General features: G+C 40.5%; 1 pseudogene; it reads right to left on the bottom strand.

The window, feature by feature from the left end:
• Window positions 18970-19908, bottom strand: LOC100422076 (phosphatidylinositol transfer protein cytoplasmic 1 pseudogene; annotated as a pseudogene).

Below are 21998 nucleotides of genomic sequence, written 5' to 3'. Positions count from 1 at the left end.
CATCAAGCAAAGGCAATTTGAGAAGACTTTTGATGAGAAATCATTAGGCATCCACTTTACAGTTATAATTTGGCTCTTTCTGGCTTCTTTTTGTTTCCTAAAAAAAAAAAATCTATAAAGGGCACCATTTTTCTTCAGCTAATAATGTAAAAAAGACTGCATTGATAAGGTTACATTTCCAAGATCCTTAGTTCTTTAGGGATGGACTAAATAAATGGCTGGTATCATCACTTACAAATGTGTTGCGACCTTGATGGAGCTTATGTTGAGAAATAACGTTTACATTTTTTATTTTTTCATTCCATTTTCCAATGAACTTTTCAAAGTCCCCTTGTTTTTTTTTGTTTGTTGGCTTGTTTGTTTTTTTTGTCAGGCGGAGTCTGGCTTTGTCGTCCAGGCTGGAGTGCAGTGGCGCGATCTCTGCTCACTGCAAGCTCTGCCTCCCGAGTTCACGCCATTCTCCCGCCTCAGCCTCCTGAGTAGCTGGGACCACAGGAGCACTCCACCACGCCCGGCTAATTTTTTTTTATATTTTTAGTAGAGACGGGGTTTCACCATGTTAGCCAGGATGGCCTCGATCTCCTGACCTTGTGATCCACCTGCCTCGGCCTCCCAAAGTACTGGGATTACAGGCATGAGCCACCGTGCCTGGCCTTTTTTTTGTTGTTTAAATTTAAATTTTAAAGTAGAGACAGGGTTTTGCTATGTTGCCCCGGCTGATCTCGAACTTCTGGGCTCAAGAGATCCTCCCACCTCAGTCTCCGAAAGTGCTGGGGTTACAGGCATGAGCCACCATGCCTAGCCAAAGTCCGCTTGTCTAATTAGAGTAAGAGAAGGCTTCACAGAAGAGGTGGCATTTTCTAACTGGGTTTTGACAAATGAGGTGTTTGTCAAAGGTAATTGCATATGAAAAGACATCAGGTGTAAGAAGATAAACTAAGGAATCTTAATAGAAAATAGCAAAAGTCAGACATTTAGAAATACCACATAATCACTGACAGCTTTTTAAAAAATAATGATGAAATGACTAATTTGGTGAAAAATTGATATACAGAAAGATAAATATGAGCTTGGAACTTTCAATAGACCATTTTTTGGCCTTTACTGAATGTTACTTTAACAAAGCTGCCTTCAGAATTTTATGCCAGGAACCTTTTTCAAGAATGATACAGACATCTTGCCATGTTAATTTGGCTTCTGTGTTACTTACTACCTAACAATTACTTTTATTTCAGATCTTGAACATCTTTAAGATGAGTAAGTAAAAATTCTAAACCACTAATGCATTTGCTTACAAATATTTTCCCCCTATTTTTAAAACCAAACATGCTTTCAGTGTACACCCTGGATTGGCATTTAGATGAGTTTAGGGTAAGCAGATAATCAATCATAGGAATATAATAGACATCAGTGATATTGCTTTGAAAGGTATACACTCTGATTTATGTTAGAGTATTGTTGTTTATGATACCTTTAAAAAATTTGTGATGGAATAAGGCTTTTATAGTGAAGCCCCAAAGAGAAAGCCATTATTTATTTATTTATTTTAACAATCCATTTAACCTTATACTGATTAAATTTGAATGTTTGGAGTGGTTGCCAGTACCTGCAGTTTATATAACTTATAAAGATGAATACTTGTCAGGTGATGAGGATATTAACCAATAGACAATACAGACTTTAGTTGTTGGTTTCAAAACTCATTTTTGGTTTTGAAACTCATTTTCAGTTATGTCATTTAAAACTTACATTTACCCACACCTGTGAAAATTGTCTGAAGCCGGAGGGTTAAGAATATTATTTTAGGCCGGGTGTAGTGGCTCACGCCTGTAATCCCAGCACTTTAGGAGGCCAAACTGGGTGGATCACCTCAGGTCAGGAGTTTGAGACCTGCCTGGCCCACATGGTAAAACACTGTCTCTACTAATAATACAAAAATTAGCTGGGCATGGTGGCACACGCCTCCGGAGGCTGAGGCAGGAGAATCGCTTGAACCTGGGAGGCAGATGTTGCAGTGAGCCAAGATCGTGCCATTGCACTCCAGCCTGGGTGACAAGAGCGAAACTCTGTCTCAAAAAAACCAAAAAAACAAAAAAACAAAGAATATTATTTTACTTGCAATTTACTTAACATATTTCCAAGAGTAAAAAACAAACTACTTTTAAGTGTCCCCAAATGTGTGTGTTTCTTCCATTATAGCTTTGACGGGTATGCCAAAGCTATGTGTGAATAAATACTGTAAAAAATAAATACTATAAAAAAGCTATGTGTGAAAAAATACTGAAAAAGTCAATGTGTGAATAAATACTGTATGTAAGAAATTAACCCGTGGAGGTATTTGTGGCACTTTATCTTCTTCCTTCAACTTTATTTCCCCCTTTTGCTTCTTGTCCACCTTGGTGCTTAATCCCACATCAGCCTTATACCTCCTACTGTATAGAACAAATAGAAGCTATTGTCTGAGAATAGCCACTTTTTCTTGATACCAGATATCCTATACTCTCTTTATCGGCACCTGTTGGTTGTCCCCCTCATGTTGAAGGCCTTGCCAACCTGTGCTCTGGATCACCTTGCTTCCCCTCTTCCAGGAACCTCACACTGTTGATTATTTCTATTTTCTCAAGCATATTCATCCTTTCTCTCTATTACATTTTTTTAAATTTAAATTTTATTTATTTCTTATTGTTTTTAGCGACAGGGTCTTGCTCTATTGCTAAGGCTGAAGTGCAGTGGTGCAACCTTGGTTCACTGTAGCCTCAACCTCCTGGGCTCAGGCAATTCTCCCATCTCAGCCTCCTGAGTAGCTGAGACTACAGGTGTCTGCCACCATGCCTGGCTTTGTGTTTTTATTTTGTAGAGACTGGGTCTCACTTTGTTGTCCAGGCTAGTCTTGAATTCCTGGGCTCAAGTGATCCTCCTGTGTTGGCCCCCCAAAGTGCTGGGATACTAGGCATGAGCCGCTTGCGCCTGGCTCAGTTATATTCTTCTCATCAATTTGTAATCATGCTTAAGTATATCCAATTAAAAGCAAACAAACTCTCATTAGATCCTTCATTTCCCTGTGAGCCCCTGACTGTTGGTCATCTTTCTTTCACAACTAAATTACTCTAAAGAATTGAAAGGTAGTGTGATGCCTACTGCTTGTTCTTTTTTGCATAGGATTGCCTTGGGTATACGGGCTCTTTTTTGGTTTCATATGATTTTTTTTTTCTTTAATTTTTTGAGACTGAGTCTTGCTCTGTTCTCCAGGCTGGAGTGCAGTGGCAAGATCTCAGTGCACTGCAATCTCCGCCTCCCTGATTCAAGGGATTCTCCTGTATCAGCCTCCTGAGTAGTTGGGACTGCAGGCAAGCATCACCATGCCTGGCTAATTTTTGTATTTTAAGTAGAGACAGGGTTTTGCCACATTGGCCAGGCTGGTCTCAAACTCTTGACCTCAAGTGATCCACCTGCCTTGGCCTCCTAAAGTTGGTTCCGTATATATTTTAAAATACTTTTTCTACTTCTGTAAAAAATATCATTGGTCGTTTGATAGGAATAGCATTGAATGTATAAATTGCTTTGGGCAGTATGGCCATTTTAACAATATGGAGTCTTCCTATCTGTGAGCATGGAATGTTTTTTCGTTTGTTTGTGTCACCTCTGATTTCTTTGAGCAGTGTTTTGTAGTTCTCATTGTAGAGCTCTTTCATTTCCCTGGTTAGCTGTATTCCTAGGCATTTTATTCTTTTGCTGGCAATTGTGAATGGGATTTCCTTTCTGATTTGGCTCTCGGCTTGGCTGTTGTTGGTGTATATGAATGCTAGTGTTTTTTGCACATTGATTTCTTTTCCTTTTTCTCTCTTTTTTTTTTTTTTTTTTGAGACAGGGTCTTGCTCTGTTGCCCAGGCTGGAATACAGTGGTGCCATCATTGCTCACTGGAACCTCTGCCTCCCAGGTTCAAGTGATTCTTGTGCCTCAGCCTCCGGAGTAGCTGGGACTACAGGTGTGCACCACCGTGCCCAGCTAACTTTTTGTATTTTTAGTAGAGATGAGGTATTGCCATGTTGGCCAGGCTGCTCTCGAACTCCTGGCTTCAAGTGATCTGTCCGTCTTGGCCTCCAAAAGTGCTGGGATTGCAGGTCTGAGCCACCACACCCAGCCAGCACATTGATTTTGTATCCTGAAACTTTGCTATAGTTGTTTATCAGCTAAAAGGGCTTTTGGGCAGAGACTATGGGGTTTTCTAGATATAAAATCATGTCACCTACAACCAGGAATAGTTTGACTTCCTCTCTTCCTATTTGGATACCCTCTATTTCTCTCTCTTGCATGATTATTCTGGCCACAACTTCCATAGCAACAATACTATGCTAAAGAGGAGTAGTGAGAGAGGGCATCCTTATCTTGTGCTAGTTTTCAAGGGGAATGCTTCTGGCTTTTGCCCATTCAGTATGATGTTGGCTGTGGGTTTGTCACATATGGCTGTTATTATTTTGAGGTGTGTTCCTTCAGTAGCTAGTTTGTTGAGAGTTTTTAACATGAAGGGATGTTGAATTTTATCAAAAACCTTTTCACATCTGTTGAGATAAACATGTGGTTTTTGTCTTTAGTTCTTCATGTGAGCAACTATGTTTATTGATTTGCATATGTTGAACCAACCTTGCATCCCAGGGATAAAGCCTACTTGATCATGGTGGATTAGCTTTTGATTTACTGCTGGATTTTGTTTGCTAGCATTTTGTTGAGGATTTTTGCATCAATGTTCATCAAGGATATTAGCCTGAAGTTTTCTTTTTCTGTTGTGTTTCTTTTTTTTTTTTTGAGACAGAGTCTTGCTCTATCTCCCAGGCTGGAGTACAGTGGTGTGATCTCAGCTCACTGCAACCTTCGCCTACTGGGTTCAAGCAGTTCTCCTGCCTCAGCCTCCTGAGTAGCTGGGATTATAGGAGCATGCTACCACACCTGGCTAATTTTTGTGTGTGTGTGTGTATATATATATATATATATATATATATATTTTTTTTTTTTTTGAAACGGAGTCTCACTCTGTCACCAGGCTGGAGTGCAGTGGCACAGTCTCAGCTCACTGCAATCTCTGCCTCCTGGGTTCAAGTGATTCTCCTGCCTCAGCCTCCTGAGTATCTGGGACTGCAGATTCATGCTGCCACAATCGGCTAATTTTTTTTTTTTTTGTATTTTAGTAGACACAAGGTTTCACCATATTGCCCAGGCTGGTCTTGAACTCCTGAGCTCAGGCGGTCCACCTGCCTCGGCCTCCCAAAGTGTTAGGATTATGGGCGTGAGCCACCATGCCTGGCCTAATTTTTGTATTTTTTAGTAGAGACAGGGTTTCACCATGTTGGCTAGGTTGGTCTTGAACTTTTGACCTCAAGTGATCCTCCCTCCTCGGTCTTCCAAAGTGCTGGAATTACAGGTGTGAGCCACCACGCCCAGCATTTTTGTAGTGTTTCTTCCAGGTGTTGGTGTCAGGATATTGCTGGCCTCATAGAATGAGCTGGGGAGGAGTCCCTTCTCCTCAATTTTTTAGAATGGTTTCAGTAGGAATGGCACCAGCTCTCCTTTGTACATCTGGTAGAATTTGGCTGTGAATTCATCTGGTCCTGGGCTCTTTTTCGTTGGTAGGTGCTATTTATCACTGATTCAATTTTGGATCTCATTATTAGTCTGTTCAGGGATTCAATTTTTTCCTGGTTCAGTTTTGGGAAGGTGTATATATCCAGGAGTTTATCCATTTCTTCTAGATTTTCTAGTCTTTGTGCATAGGGGTGTTCACAGTAATCTCTGATGCTTGTTTATATTTCTGTGGGGTCAGTGGTAATATCCCCTTTGTCACTTCTGATTGTGTTTATTTGGATCTTCTCTCTTTTCTTCTTTGTTAGTATAGCTAGTGGTCTTTCTATCTTATTAATTTTTTTTTTAAACCAGCCCCTGATTCTTTGATCTTTTAAATGGTTTTTGTGTCTCAGTGTCCTTCAGTTCAGCTCTGATTTGGTTATTTCTTGTCTTCTGCTGGCTTTGGGGTTGGTTTGCTGTTGTTTCTCTAGTTCTTTTAGTTGTGATGTTAGGTTAGGTTATTAATTTGAGGTCTTTCTAACTTTTTTTTTTTTTTGGAGACGGAGTCTTGCTCTGTCGCCCAGGCTGGAGTGCAGTGGCGCCATCTCAGCTCACTGCAAACTCCGCCTACCCGGTTCACGCCACTCTCCTGCCTCAGCCTCCCGAGTAGCTGGGACTACAGGCGCCGGCCACCATGCCCGGCTAATTTTTTGTAGTTTTAGTAGAGACGGGGTTTCACCGTGTTAGCCAGGATGGCCTCGATCTGCTGACCTCGTGATCCGCCCCCCTCAGCCTCCCAAAGTGCTGGGATTACAGGTGTGAGCCACCGCGCCCGGCCTTTCTAACTTTTTTATGTGGGCATTTACAGTTATAAATTTCCCTCTTAACACTGCCCTAGCCGTGTCCCAGAGTTTCTGGTATGTTTTATCTTTGTTCTCATTAATTTCAAAGAATTTCTTGATTTCTTCCTTAATTTCATTATTTATTCAAAAGTCATTCAGGAGCAAATTGTTTAATTTGCATGTGATTGTATGATTTGGGGTGATTTTCTTAGTCTTACATTCTATTTTTATTGCACTGTAGTTCAAGAGAGTGGTTCTTGTGATTTCTGTTCTTTTGCATTTGCTGAGGATTGTTTTATGTCTGATTACCTGGTTGATTTTAGAGTATGTGCCATGTGCAGATAAGAAGAATATATATTCTGTTGTTTTTGGGTGTAGAGTTCTGTAGATTTCTAACTTATCCATCTGGTCCAGTGTGTCCTGAATATCTTTGTTAATTTTCTGCCTTGATGATCTGTCTAATACTGTCAGTGGGGTGTTGAAGTCACACTACGTGACTTCAAACTATACTACAGGGCTATAGTAACCAAAACAACATGGTACTGGTACAAAAACAGACACATAGACCAATGGAACAGAATAGAGAGCCCAGAAATAAGGCTGCACACCTACAATTATCTGATCTTTGACAAAATTGGCAAAAACAAACAACGGGGAAAGGACTCCCTATTCAATAAATGCTGCTGGGAAAACTGGCTAGCCACATGCAGAAGATTGAAACTGGACCGCCTCCTTACACCATATAAAAAAAGCAACTCAAGATGGATTAAAGACTTACATGTCTTTAAGACTTACCCCCAAACTATAAAAACTCTAGAAGACAACATAGGCAATATCATTCTGGACATAGGAACTGGCAAATATTTCATGATGAAGACACCAAATGCAATATGACAGAAGCAAAAACTGACAAATGGATCTAAGTAAACTAAGGAGTTTCTGCATAGCAAAATAAGCTGTCAACAGAGTAAACAGACGACCTGCAAAATGGGAGAAAATATTTGCAAACTATGCATCTGAAGAAGGTCTAATATCCAGCATCTATAAAGAACTTAAACAGATTTACAAGAAAAAAACAAACAATCCCATTAAAAAGTGGGCAAAGGACATGAACAATTTTCAAAAGAAGACATATATGCAGCCAACAAGCATATGGAAAAAAAGATCAATATCACTAATCATTACAGAAATGCAAATCAAAACCACAATGATGTATCATCTCACATCGACAGAATGGCTGCTATTAAAAAGTTAAAAAACAACAGATGCTGGTAAGTTTGCAGAGAAAAGGGAATGCTTATTGGGGGGAGTGCAAATTAGTTCAACCATGGTGGAAAGCAGTGTGGTAATTCCTTAAAGAGCTAAAAAACAGTACTGCCATTTGATCCAGCAATCCTATTACTGAGTATATACCCAAAGGGATATAAATTGTTCTATCATAAAGACATATGCACGTGTATGTTCAATACAGCACTATTTACAATAGCAAAGACATAGACTCCATCTAATTGTCCACCAATGGAAGACTCAATAAAGAATATGTGGGACATACACACCATGGAATACTATGCAGCCATTAAAAAGAATGAGATCATGTCCTCTGCAACTAAGTAACACAGGAACAGAAAACCAAATACTGCATATTCTTGCTTATAAGTGGGAGCTAAATGATGAGAACACATGGACACAAAGAAGGGAAAGAAGACACTGAGGCCTAATTGAGGGTGAAGGGTAGGAGGAGGGCGAGGAGCAGAAAAAATAGCTATTGGGTACTAGGCTTAGTACCTGGGTGATGAAATAATCTGTACATCTAACCCCCATGACATGAGTTTACCTACATCACAAACCTGCATATGTGCCCTGAAGATAAAATCTAAGTTAAAATAAAAAAGTTGAAAGAACTGTCCATCCTGGCAGCCTCCATTTTCCCACCTGCTACTTATATGTCAACCCACTTCATTCCAGCTTTCAGCCTTAGAACTCTTCAGAAACACCTCTCTCTTTGTTTCTCTCTCAGGTTATCAATGACCTTCCTGTCAATAAACTTAATGGATATATTTCAGTCACCATTATATTTGGCCTCTTGGTGACTGTGACACTACTGACCATCCTTCTTTCTAGAAACATTTCTAGCTTTGTTCTTCACAATACAAACTCTTCTAATCTTACTCCCACCTCTTTTGCTACCTCTTCCCTGTTTCTTTTGTGGGTTCACCTTCTTTCATACAATTATTAAATGCTGAGTGTTGATATGGTTAGGCTGTGTCCTCACCCAAATCTCATCTTGAATTCCCACATGTTGTGGGAGGGACCCAGTGAGAGGTAATCGAATCATGGGGGTCAGGTCTTTCCTGTGCTGTTCTCATGATAAGAGGGAGTTTTCTTGCACAAATTCTCTTCTCTTGTTTGCGGCCATGCAAGATGTGCCTTTCACTTTCCACCTTCCATCATGATTGTGAGGCACCCCCAGCCATGTGGAACTGTGAGTCCAATAAACATCTTTCTTTTGTAAATTGCCCAGTCTCGGGTATGTCTTTATCAGCAGTGTGAAAATGGACTAATACAAGTTTATTGAAGCTGCCTCTTAGATTTTTTTCATCCTATTCTACACTCTCTTTAGCCCTACTGGAACAGTGACTGATTACTGGGGAGGTTCCCTAAAGGAAAAGTCAGGAGCTGTTGCCAGAGCAAGGAAAATGGATGCTGGAAACGGATACTGGCCATGCAAAAAATAAACAAGGATGCCGGGCGTGGTGGCTCATGCCTGTAATCCCAGCGCTTTGGGAGGCCGAGGCAGGTGGATCACTTGAGGTCAGGAGTTCAAGACCAGCCTGGCCAATATGGAGAAACCCTTTCTTTACTAAAAATACAAAAATTAGCCAGGCGTGGTGGCACACAACTGTCATCCCAGCTACTTGGGAGGCTGAGGCAGGAGAATTGCTTGCACCTAGGAGGCAGAGGTTGCAGTGAGCCGAGATTGCACCACTGCACTCCAGCCAGGGCAACAGAGCGAGACTTCATCTCAAACAAACAAACAACCCCCCCCGCAAAAAAACTAAAACAACAAAGGAAAACAAAAGCAAACTAAAAGTCCACTACAACAGACAGTCTATTATTTATACTATATCCTCAAACTTATCCATCATGTCCTGTTTCAGCCACCCTACATCCAACAGTTTTGTGACTATGCTGTACCATAAATTACAGCTATGCTTTTGATCCAATGCACATTTGGAATTTTTGTTTTTCTCCCAAATTTACCAACAGAAACCCTACCTACTTCTTAAGACTTAGAAGATATGTCTTCTGGAAAACCTAAATTAAACTTTTTTTTTTTTCTGTGTGTCCTCATAACACTTTGCTTCTCTCCCTGTGCACTTACCACATTCTATATTTATAGTATAGTTAGTTCTGCTTTTGCAGTCTAAATCCCTGCTACATTGTAAGCTCCATGAGGACAACTATACCTCATTTGTCTTTTAATTCCTCATAGGATGTAGCATGTTGCCAAGTTCATGGTAAGTGCTATGTACTTTTTTGTTGGTTTGACAATTGTCTATTCTCACTGAGTCATAAGCAGGCAGACTAAAACGTCCAAGAATTAAAAAAAGAGTGGCAATTAAAGAAGAAAAGAAGAAATTTTATTTTTTACTCTTATTCAAATAATTAAGTCAATCTAAATATCCACAGATTTTAGATCCCTGAGAGCTGCTATGGTGTAACAAGAGCTCCTCTGTTTCACACTGTTACATGGAGAAGATAGCCTAATCCTAAATATTGTGAGTTGTTTCCCTAGTCTGGTTTTATCTCGAATGAATGACCTGCCCTTTGGTTGTTTATGTTGGTCAGTCATGATCCTCACGTCCTAAACAAATGCAAACAATTATAGACTAACCTCTCTAAACAAGCAAATTCTGGGAAAATAAAATCACCACTGTGATAATTTGGAAAGAATACTGATGACCTTTAACATCAAAATAATACAGTTACAGCCTCCTGCATGTATTATTTATGAGAATGCTCATCCTATAAGTCACAAAGGGAGGTGAATGGCCCATGTTTATACCCTGGAGGCAGCTGCACTTTCCCAAGGATGGGTTGGGAGATCATCCCCCCTCATATCTTTTTCTAAACACAGTGTAGGTCTGAGGTGAATGTGACCTCAGTTTTTCCTTCTCCAAGTCAGTTCTGCTTATAAGATTTTGGTGGTAATAGTTTCAATGAGAGCAACTTTTACTCTGAATATGAGACCCTGACAAACACTGGGCTTACTCAGCACTGTGTCACATAGAAAGCTGTTTTTCTGACAATAGTAATGGAGAAGGAATTGATGGAGATAGATGTCAGAGACATTTTGAAGGGTGACTGAAATCATCCCTCAATTCTGTGTTGAGTACTTCAAACTCTGTACATCTGTGGATTTCTTTTTTTTGTTGTTTTTTTAAGCTTTTATTTTAGGTTCAGGAGTACCTGTGCAGGTTTGTGATATGGGTAAGCTTGGCTCACGGGGGTTTGATGTATAGATTATTCCATCACCCAGGTACTAAAGCTAGTACACAACAGTTATCTTTTCTGATCCTCTCTCTCCTCCCACCCTCAAGTAGCCCCCAGTGTCTGTTGTTCCCCTTTGTGTCCATGTGTTCTCATCATTAGCTACCACGTATAAGTGAGAACATGTGGTATTTGGTTTTCTGTTCCTTTATTACTTTGCTAGGGATGATGGCCTCCAGCTCCATCCATGTTCCTGCAAAGGACATGATCTCATTCTTTTTTTATGGCTAGATAGTGTCTCACAGTGTGTATGTACATTTTGTTTATCCAGTCTGTCACTGATGGACATTTAGGTTGATTCCATGTCTTTGCTATTGTCAATAGTGTTGCAATGAACATACATGTGCATGTGTCTTTAGAGTAGAATGATTTATATTCCTTTGGGTATATGCCCAGTAATGGGATTGCTGGGTCCGGTCATGGATTTCTTAAGACTCATCCTATCTAGTCATCTCCCTGACATGCAGTATCACAATTTCTGAATCCCCTGTCTTCAGTAGTCTTAAGCTTACCTTATATAAATCTCATACCTTTTGCCAAGCACAGAGGAAGATCTTAATATGTTGTATTTACAGAACAAAATATAATGGACTAAATCATTCTAGTTGATTAAAATGATGTCTGTGAAAGGCAGTTTTTCTTCCTCATTTGCTTTAATATTTTGTTTTCATCTTTATGATAACTGAAGTTCATATTTCTTTTGCTGCCGAAATAGTTTTATAAATGTGTTTCTATGTTGGTTGAATCTGAAGCAAACTCAAACAAGAATGATTCTTTCTTCTATTTTAAAATTATGCTTTTATTTTATTTTTTTAAAATTATAGTTTTAAAGGTGTAGACTACTTCGAGAAACATATTACACCTAAATACAAACATGCAAAAAGACACTTCAGCTCACAGTTGTTTTATAGAGGAAATCTTTGCTTTACTAAATTACTTATCCAGATTTTGCTAAAAAAGGGAGCCCTGCTAGTATTTTCTACTGAAATAATTACTTGCTAGAAAGCCTGTGTAGAAGAGAAATTTTTGGTTCCTCTTTACTGGTAGAGTTACCAGGGCTGGGCATGGTGGTGTGTGCCTATAATCCTAGCTACTTGGGAGGCTGAGGCAGGAGCATCACTTGAGCCCTGGAGGTCAAGGTTGCAATGAGCTGTTACTGCACCACTGTGCTCCAGGCCTGGGTGACAGAGTAAGACCCTGTCTTTATTTAAAATAAAATAAAAAGTTTGCCAGGTAAAATATAGAATTCCTAGTTAAATTTGAATTTCAGATAAATGACAATTTTTTGGTATACATATGTTCCAATCATTGTGTGGATATATTTATACTAAACAAATGATTTATTATTTGTCTGAAATTAAAATTTAATGTAGTGTCCTGTATTTTTATTTGCTGAATCTGGCAATCCTACCAGGATAGAAGAAAATCTTATTCATTAAACATTTATTACAAAATTTCAATTTGTAACAAACAGTTTTTTGTATAACTTTTTTTCTTTTTTTTTCATCAACTGAGGTGAACTGTGTTAGAAGATACATGCAAAAGTTCTTTGTAAACTGAAAATACGGGTACAAAAATGTTCATATGTGTTAGGAGAAAGCATGACTCAAGGGTATAACACTAAAGAGCATAAAAAGGTATGACAACAAAGGCTTGGGAGGGAGGTCAGAGTTATTTTTTCTCCTTTCTTCACCATTATTCCAAGTTTTCCAACCCCTAATCACTCTTATGCAAACTGTTTTATCAAAACATACACGTGAAGTAAGTTGTATTGGGTCTGAGTTGAGAGCAATAAAAAGAAAAATAGTATAGCCGGGCATGGTGGCACTCCTGTAGTCCCAGCTACTTGGGAGGCTGAGGCAGGAGGATCCCTTGAACCCAGGAGCTCGAGGCTGTAGTCAGCTATGATTGCACCACTGTGCTCCAGCCTGGGCCACATAGAGTGATCCTGTCTCTAAAAAAACAAAAAAGAAAAACAGTAGAAGTAGAGAGAGTCTAGGCTTCATAGTAAAAATGATCTAGGTTCAAATCCTGAATGTCTTGATCATGTTATTTAACTTCTGCTTGTCAACATTTGTATTAAAAGTTTAGATAAGGCTGGGCACGTGGCTCATGCCTGTAATTCCAGCACGTTGGGAGGCCAAGGCGGGCAGATCACCTGAGGTCAGAAGTTCGTGACAATCCTGGCCAACCTGGTGAAACCCCGTCTCTACTAAAAATACAAAAGTTAGCTTGGGCATGGTGGCACGTGCCTGTAATCCCAGCTACTCAGGAGGCTGAGGCGGGAGAATCGCAGGAGGCAGATGTTGCAGAGAGCTGAGATCGCGCCACTGCACTCCAGCCTGGGCAACAGAGTGAGACTTCATCTCAAAAAAAAAAAAAAAAAAAAAGTTTAGATAAATGGCTTTTCTGCATAAAGTGACTGGGTTATATTAGCCATTCACTATATGGTAGCTTTTATTATGATTATGGTAAGGATATAAGAAGAGAGCCACAATGATAAGAAAACAATAGAGGTGAAGGAAAGGACACATGGAATGAGAGAAAAGAAAGAATGAAATTTAGGAGTCTTAAAAAAATCTTTTGAGGGTTAAAATGAAATAAAAATGAGCAACCATCTCTTCCACTCCCAACAGTAACAAAAATCCCAGTGTGTTGTTTCACCTTCAAATTCTTCCAAAGTCTTTTTTTTTTTTTTTTTGAGACAGAGTCTTGCTCTGTTGTCCAGGCTGGAGTGCAGTGGTGTGATCTCGGCTCACTGCCTCTGCCTCCCAGGTTCAAGCAATTCTCCTGCCTCAGACTCCTGAATAGCTGGGATTATAGGCATCTGCTACCATGCCTGGCTAATTTTTGTAATTTTAGTAGAGTTGGGGTTTTGCCATGTTGGCCAGGCTGGTCTCTAACTCCTGACTTCAAGTGATCCTCCCCCCTCAGCTTCCCATAGTCCTGGGATTACAGGTGTGAGCCACCATGCCTGGCCTAAAATGTTAATCTATTTGTTTATTTAGAGACTGGCTTATAAGACTGGCTAATTTTTATATTTTTGGTAGGGACGAGGTTTCACCATTTTGCCCAGGCTGTCTCGAACTCTTGGGCTCAAGCGATCCACCGGCCTCAGCCTGCCTGGCCCCTTTCCAAAGTCTTACTGTGACTAATGCAATAAACAAAGTTGCAATTGATGAAACAGTTATTAAAATTTGCCTAACAAAATAGTCAAAACGGCTAAGAGAAGGCTATCCAACTCCCACATTTCCAGATGATAAGTGAAAAATTAATATTTTGAAATATCAAGATGAGTAACATTGTTTTGGATTGATAGATTGATAGATTTTTTCACTTTTTTTCAACACACCCTGTTATTTTTAAGCCTGTTATGAAGCTGCTTGCTTTGTACAATATACAATTGATTATTTAAGAATGCATTAGCACAAAGAAAGCTCCATTCCTAAGAAGTGATTAATAAATATGCAACTTGAGAGCCCAAGATTTGAGAAAATTATGACAACTGTACTTAAAGAATATTGAGAATATTGGCCGGGCGTGGTGGCTCATGCCTGTAATCCCAGCACTTTGGGAGGCCGAGGTGGGCGGATCACTTAAGGTCAGGAGTTCGAGACCAGCCTGGCCAACATAGTGAAACCCCATCTCTACTAAAAATCTAAAAATTAGCCGGGCATGGTGGTGCATGCCTGTAATCCCAGCTACTCAGGAGGCTGAGGCAGGAGAATCGCTCGAACCTGGGAGGCGGAGGTTGCAGTGAGCCAAGATTGCGCCATTGCACTCCAGCCTGTGTGACAGAGTGAGACTCCATCACACAAAAAAAAAAAGAAAAAGAGAATATTAAGGATAGCATTGTGTTTATATAAAGAGCTGAGTTGTGTTTTTTTTTTTTTTGTCTAATAGAAAACAATAGACTTGAATCAAGGTGTCCTTGATGCACATATTTTGATAGAGCCTTATAAATTAGGATCCAATCATGATTAAACAGTATTTGACCCAAATAAATTCTGTGAGTGTTTGACAACATGGAGATTAACAAACTCTGGCATGTAAAATCCTGGAAGTTATGAAAGTAAGATCCAACATAACTTGTCTACCGTTAGGAGCTTGCCCTAAGTTATGAACAATTCCCCAAATTTTCTAACATGCTTTAGAATCTGAAATCCCTGTGCACAGGTGGAGAGAATCTTCCCTCAGCCCCTCAGGTCATCAGTTTATAGCCGGAGGCATAGGTTTCATTATAGCACATCATTATCATAGCTTGCATAGCTGCAGATGCAAATGACAGTAATTAACCATTTGCATTTTCAAAGAAAGGGTTTAGGAGGAGACTTCAACCTTTCACTATGGCTCAGGACCGAGTGACCACATTGCTATTGATTATGACCTCTGACAGACTTAACATCCTAGGCCTTGTTCCAATGCACATTTGAAGCAGACATAGATCAAGCACACAACTAATGAATTTAACAGCCTCATTAGGTAACTCTGCCTCCCCTTAATCGTTCACAGAAATGCTCTGGGCATTTTAAAACAGGCATTAATGGAGAAAGCTTTGGGGATTTCAGGCAAGTGCTTTTTCTTTCCCAGATACCTTCCTACCAATAGCTTCACGCTCAGTGCCATCTCCTGACCGCCTGCCTGTCAGGTCCTATCTGTGTGCTGGGTGTCCTACGCCACTGCTGAAGGAGGCAATCATTTTAAATGGCTCCAAATGAAGTCGGTTATTGCCCATTATTTATTTACTTGATCTTGGAGTCACAGAAAATGACATAGGCCAAGATCCTAGGCTTCTCTCTTTGCTTTGTCCTGGGCTTTAGTCCTTCGAATTCAGCTGGAGACATTTCATATGCTGTGAGCTGCATTTTAAGTTGCTCTCTTACAGTGGGTCACAATTTACTCTGGGGCTGCATTGCCCTCATCTTTTGTGTAAAGTTGCTTCTCATGCACCTGTTCCATTTTAGACCATTTCCAACCTCCCTTCTGGGACCCCCGTTCCTTAACTCTTGTGGTTAAGGTTGGTTCAAAGTCTAAGTGTCTGTATTTTTTCCCCCGTATTCTTCCCAGGTACATAGTTGAATACTGGATATAAGATAAGCAGATAATCCATCAATTTAGTTTACTGGCAAGATCTGAAAAATCGAAATGAATTAGATGAGAACATGTTACTTAGGAATTGGGAGAAGAAAGAATTGAAGAATCAAGGTTACTCTATAAATCTCAGGATTTCTGTTTCATTTCCAAATAGTTACAAGAGAAGGCTAGCCTTTCCAGGGAATGCACTGATAAAGATATCCATACTCTAGCAAATGTTCCTCATTTGCATATTTTCTGCAAATCTTATGGTCAATGTGTATCAGTATAAATCAGTGTCTCTTAAGCTTTTCCATGTCATGGCACACACACTAAAGTGATTTTTTTTTTTTTTTTTGGAGACCAAGTCTTGGTCTGTTGCCCAGGCTGGAGTGTGGTGGCACAATCTCGGCTTACTGAAACCTCTGCCTCCCGAGTTCAAGTGATTCTCATGCCTCAGCCTCCCAAGTAGCTGGGATTACAGATGTGCACCACCATGCCCAGCTAATTTTTGTATGTTTTTTTTTTTTTTAGTAGAGATGGGGTTTCGCCATGTTGACCGGGCTGGTCTAGAACAACTGACCTCAAATGATCTGCCCACCTTGGCCTCCCAAAGTGCCGGGATTACAGGAGTGAGCCACTTCTCCTGGCCCCAAAATGATATTTGTACCACACACTGGGGTAAACTGAAGAAGATTTAGGGTGTCTATATGAAGCCAGGGGAACAATTCACCATTGTTTATATTAAATGATTATGAAGAGAAGAGAAATTACACAGCACTGGGGGACATATTAAATAGAAAACCAATAAAATATTTTCATAATTTTTATTTTAGTTATTAAAAGACAGAAACAAGTGGATTTTGTTTTTGCTTTGAGATGTTTATGAATTTTGAAAAGGTAGTGTATTAGAGAAATAGGAAAAAATTCACATTTCTGAGCACTTACTTTGTATCAAGGACCAAGGCGGGTGGATCACTTGACATCAGGAGTTCGAGACCAGCCTGGCCAACATGGTGAAACCCCATCTCTACTAAAAATACAAAAATTAGCCGGGTGTGGTGGTGTGCACCTGTAATCCCAGCTACTTGGGAAGCTGAGGAAGGAGAATTGTTTGAACTTGGGAGGCAGAGGTTGCAGTGAGCCGAGATCACACCTCTGCACTCCAGCCTGGGTAACAGAGTGATACTCTGTCTCAATTAAAAAAAAAAAAGGATTAAAAAGTAAATTCTGTGATGGACAGGTATCTTTTATTGCTGAATTTACAGCAGTTGGAATAATACCCAGTACAGAGAAGGTGCCCCTTAAGCGTTTTTTGTTGATTAAATAAAAGGTAAATCACAATTAATAAAATTGACATTTGGAGGTGCTGACCAAGGTTATACAGGTAGCAAATTTTTAAGCTAGAATTGAGCTCAATCTGTTGGTCTTCAAAACCTAGGCGTCTCCACTGCACAGTATTGGTTTCCCCTTTGCAGGGAAGTGCATCCTCAGCCAAATGAATCATTTCTTGATACAGAGCAGGAAGCAGTTCATTGCCATAAATCGATTCAATTTCTAACCAAATCCTTTTGTGCACTATCTTCTTCTTCTATTCTAAGTGGAATCTTTATTAAATTCTGTGGAAAGCATAAATAAGTTATCATTAATTACACTTGGAGCCTCTAAAGATTGATATTAAAATTTTTAAAAGTTTAAAGAGTTAATTAGGCCCCAAATCCTGAGTCACACTTAACAACATAGGGACCTTAATAACTATTGGCATTCAAATATTGATGATCAGCAGTTCGAAATTTAACAATTAAGTATATTATGCCTGAGAGTATTTTGGAGAATTTCAGGTTTGATGAGTGGAAATTGACTTTACTTTTTTTTTTTTTTGAGACAGAGTCTCACTCTGTCACCCAGGCTGGAGTGCTGTGGTGTGATCTTGGCTCACCACAACCTCCGCCTTCCAGGGTTCAGCCACCCGAGTAGCTGGGATTACAAACGTGCACCACTGCACTTGGTTAATTTTTGTATTTTTTTTTTTTTTTAGTAGAGACGGGATTTCGCCATGTTGCCCAGGCTGGTCTTGAACTCCTGGCCTCAAGTGATCTACTCATCTTGGCCTCCCAAAGTGCTGGGATTACAGGCGTGAGCCACCGTGCCCAGCCACCTTTTATGTATTACCACACGTTGTAACAAAGTGGTGCAAAGTGTTCATTTAGTAATTCTTTTTTTTTTTTTTTTGAGATGGAGTTTCACTCTTGTTGCCCAGGCTGGAGTGCAATGGCACGATCTCGGCTCACCACAACCTCCACCTCCCGGGTTCAAGCGATTCTCCTGCCTCACCCTCCCAAGTAGCTGGGATTATAGGCCTGCATCACCAAGCCTGGCTAATTTTGTATTTTTAGTAGAGATGGGTTTCTCCATGTTGGTCAGGCTGGCCTCGAACTCCTGACCTCAGGTGATCCGCCCACCTCAGCCTCCCAAAGTGCTGGGATTACAGGCATGAGCCACCGTGCTCGGCCTCTTATTTATGTTCAGAGTCCTTGCAAACCTCATCAAATGCCCAATAACAAGGCTTCCTCCCAGGCTTACTGCTATGACCACAGAAGATTCCTTCTGTCCTTTGCAAATCTTTTTTTTTTTTTTTTTTTTTTTTTGAGACGGAGTCTCGCTCTGTCGCCCAGGCTGGACTGCGGACTGCAGTGGCGCAATCTCGGCTCACTGCAAGCTCCGCTTCCTGGGTTCACGCCATTCTCCTGCCTCAGCCTCCCGAGTAGCTGGGACTACAGGCGCCCGCCACTGCGCCCGGCTAATTTTTTGTATTTTTAGTAGAGACGGGGTTTCACCTTGTTAGCCAGGATGGTCTCGATCTCCTGACATCATGATCCACCCGCCTCGGCCTCCCAAAGTGCTGGGATTACAGGCGTGAGCCACCGCGCCCGGCCCCCTTGCAAATCTTACAGCTAACATCTTATGTGATGCTGTGTGGCATACTTAGGGAATCATATGTGAAATTACTTAATCATATGCACACTCAGAGGTTGAAGGAACATGTTTGTGTGACAAAGCACCTTTTTCTATATCAGATTTTTTTTTTTTTAAAAACAAGCCAAAATGAAAATATAAAACCCCATGAGATATCCATATGAAGTAACTCTGATTTATGCTGACGTCGTTTATCTGAAGAGTATGTGCCAAGTACATTCAGGGTGGCTTTTTTTCTCAGGGTCTGGAAGCATGAGTGTTACTGGGGCAGACTTTTTCCGGGGCCAATATTTGGGACCTGACAGCAATTCAGGTACATCTGTGGAACGAGGGGTGATGGAGTGATGAAGCACTAGAAGGGGACTGCTGCCAGAAGAAGGCAGTCGGGGAATGCTTGAGCTAGAAATTGCAGGTGGGACAATGCCAATTTTCTTCTTGATGGCTTCCTGAATGGCTCGTTCAAATTATCAGACTTCATCAGTTGTCATGTACTTGTTTGGGCATGACTCACTATGTCATTTGCAGGCGAGGAATGTTGATTGCAAACTTTTTATGTTAGTTTGCTCAGGCATGTTTTTTTCATATTCCTGAACATCATCCATTATCATGTACCATTCATCAACCCATGCAAAAGCCTATGTCGTCTTTGACTGACTTGTGTACAAATTGCCCTACTTTGGTCTGAAGCCTCCAGACCTCCAACCTCACTGGTGGTCTCCAGCTTGTAGAAGCACATGATGGGCTGATGTCTATCTATTCAGCCTGCCCTTAACTGTCCCCATCCTGTCTTCTCTGACTTGAAGTGTTTAGGATCCTCAGATTCTTTGTCGTAGTGCTCTGGAATTTCATTGCAGACAATATCAATAAAGCAAACGTCTCTTTCTAGGTTTTTGGCTTCCTTGTAAAAAACATTTACCGGCCAGGCATTGTGGCTACAGGTGTGAGCCACCACGCCTGGCTTTCTCTCTATTTTAAATTAAAAAAAAAAAAATTGCCAGTTTATTATAAAGGATATTACAAAGGATACAGATGAAGAAATGCATACAGTAAGATATGGGGGAAGCGGAATGGAGCTTCCATACCCTCCCTGGGTGCACCACCCTCCAGGAACCTCCATGTATTCAGCTATCTGGAAGCTCTATTTTCATAATTTTTAATGAGGCCTTAAAGTTGCTTTCGTGACTGTAAGTTTTTCATATTAGGTGTTATAGTTGAATGGCTTTATGTAATTTCTGATTAAGACTTTTAAATAATATTCTCTTCAATATTTTTATATTCAACAATAGATTCTCTTCCCACAAATATATGACAAAATTTAAACCAATCTTCACAATTATTTAAAATAATTATAACACATGAATTATATTGGAAATAATAGCCTTTCCTTATCTTCTCCTTATAATTGTAACACTGAAATTTCTTATGATAATGTGATTTCTATAAAACTTTTCCATACCAGGTATTTCAATATAATAATATAGCAAAATTTTGCAGAAGGCATTTGCATTGTTGGGATGGTCACTTAGAAACCATTAATAGCAAATAGGGAGGTGTGTCTGACTTACGTGATGACAGATATTTAAGTTGCTGGCTGTCCAGTGCCTGTCGGGAGTCCCCATCCAAACTCCTGGAACAAGGGGTTCATGGAGCTGCAGGAAGAGTTATGTAATAGGTTCCTAAGAGCATTCCCTCCAGCAAGATGAGGGTGGAGGATGGCAACAAGGCTGATGGCAAGCACTGGGCAGACAGTAGTTGAATCTTTGTTGTTGCATATATTAAATATGTCTATATGCTCATTGGTATTGGTGTGTTCTAAGTGACCACTCTAAAAAGGCAGGCACATTCTTTAAAATGTAGCTCTATTATTATTTTGAAATAACGTAGAGAGCTGGCTCCTAAAGTCAATATCCAAGTAATAGACGGGGTGCACTGGTGCAGTCACAGCTCACTTCAGCCTCAAACTCCTGGGCTCAAGTGATCCTCCTGCCTCAGACTCCCCAGTAGCTAGGAGCATAGGCATGTGCCACCACACCTGGCTAATTAAAAAAATTTTTTTTTTTTTTTAGAGATGGAGGTCTCGCTATGTTGCCCAGGCTGGTTTGGAATTTCTGGCCTCAAGTTCCTGCCTTGACCTCCCAAAGTACTGGGATTATAGGTTTGAGCCCCTGCTCCCAGCCCAGTTGCTCATGCTCCTTCAACTCTCTGAAGATCCTCAAAGAAGGCTGCTTAAGGCTGGGGGTGACTCTCTTGGCGACAAGCCAGCTTAGTTGCTGTGAGTGCCAAGGAGATTAGTATCTCTCAGCATGCCTGTAATCCATTTGCTGTTTACCAGTATATTTTAGCACCCTGATTAGCAAGCTGTAGTATGAATAGTGTCTCAAAGGAGGTCTCTGTATCCCATTTCCCATGCCATGCATATGCCTAATGAGGATGCCCTAAAAACTGGTTGAGCCTAACTATTATCAGGAGAACCTGAAATTCTGTACCTCCAGGAAAGTTCTGCAAAAGAGATCTTCCCCACTTCCCTCACCCAGGGCGGTAGGTGGGCTGAGGAGTGTCCAATATGGCACTAACTGTGACCAACTGAATTGTGAAAGCTGATTGCAGTTCTTTGGGGTGGAGCCCAGGCAAACTTCTTCAGTGTGTATCAATCCAATAGAAGCTGCTACTATGAGTGGAGGAAGGGAAAGATTAAATAATCTTCTTTGGCCAGGTTGGTCTCGAACTCCTGACCTCAAGTGATGTGTCTGCCTCGGCCTCCCAAAGTGCTGGAATTACAGTCTTGAGCCACCGTGCTCCGCATTGAACTTTATTTTTTAGTGCAGTTTTAGGTTCACAGCAATACTAAGTGGAAACAATAGAGTTCCCACTGCTATGTCTTCAAGGTCCAGCTTCCATATCATTATCTCTATGAAATCTTCTCTGATTTCCCATAGTTGTAAATAAAAGTTTCCTGTTCCAAAATTTCACAGCCCCTTTAAGAAAATTTAACAAGGTTT

The sequence above is a fragment of the Homo sapiens genome, chromosome 1, assembly GCF_000001405.40.
Source record: "Homo sapiens chromosome 1, GRCh38.p14 Primary Assembly".
Taxonomy (NCBI): Eukaryota; Metazoa; Chordata; class Mammalia; order Primates; family Hominidae; genus Homo; species Homo sapiens.
Note: the sequence above shows the minus strand (reverse complement) of the source record. Positions and strands in the feature narration are given on the sequence as shown.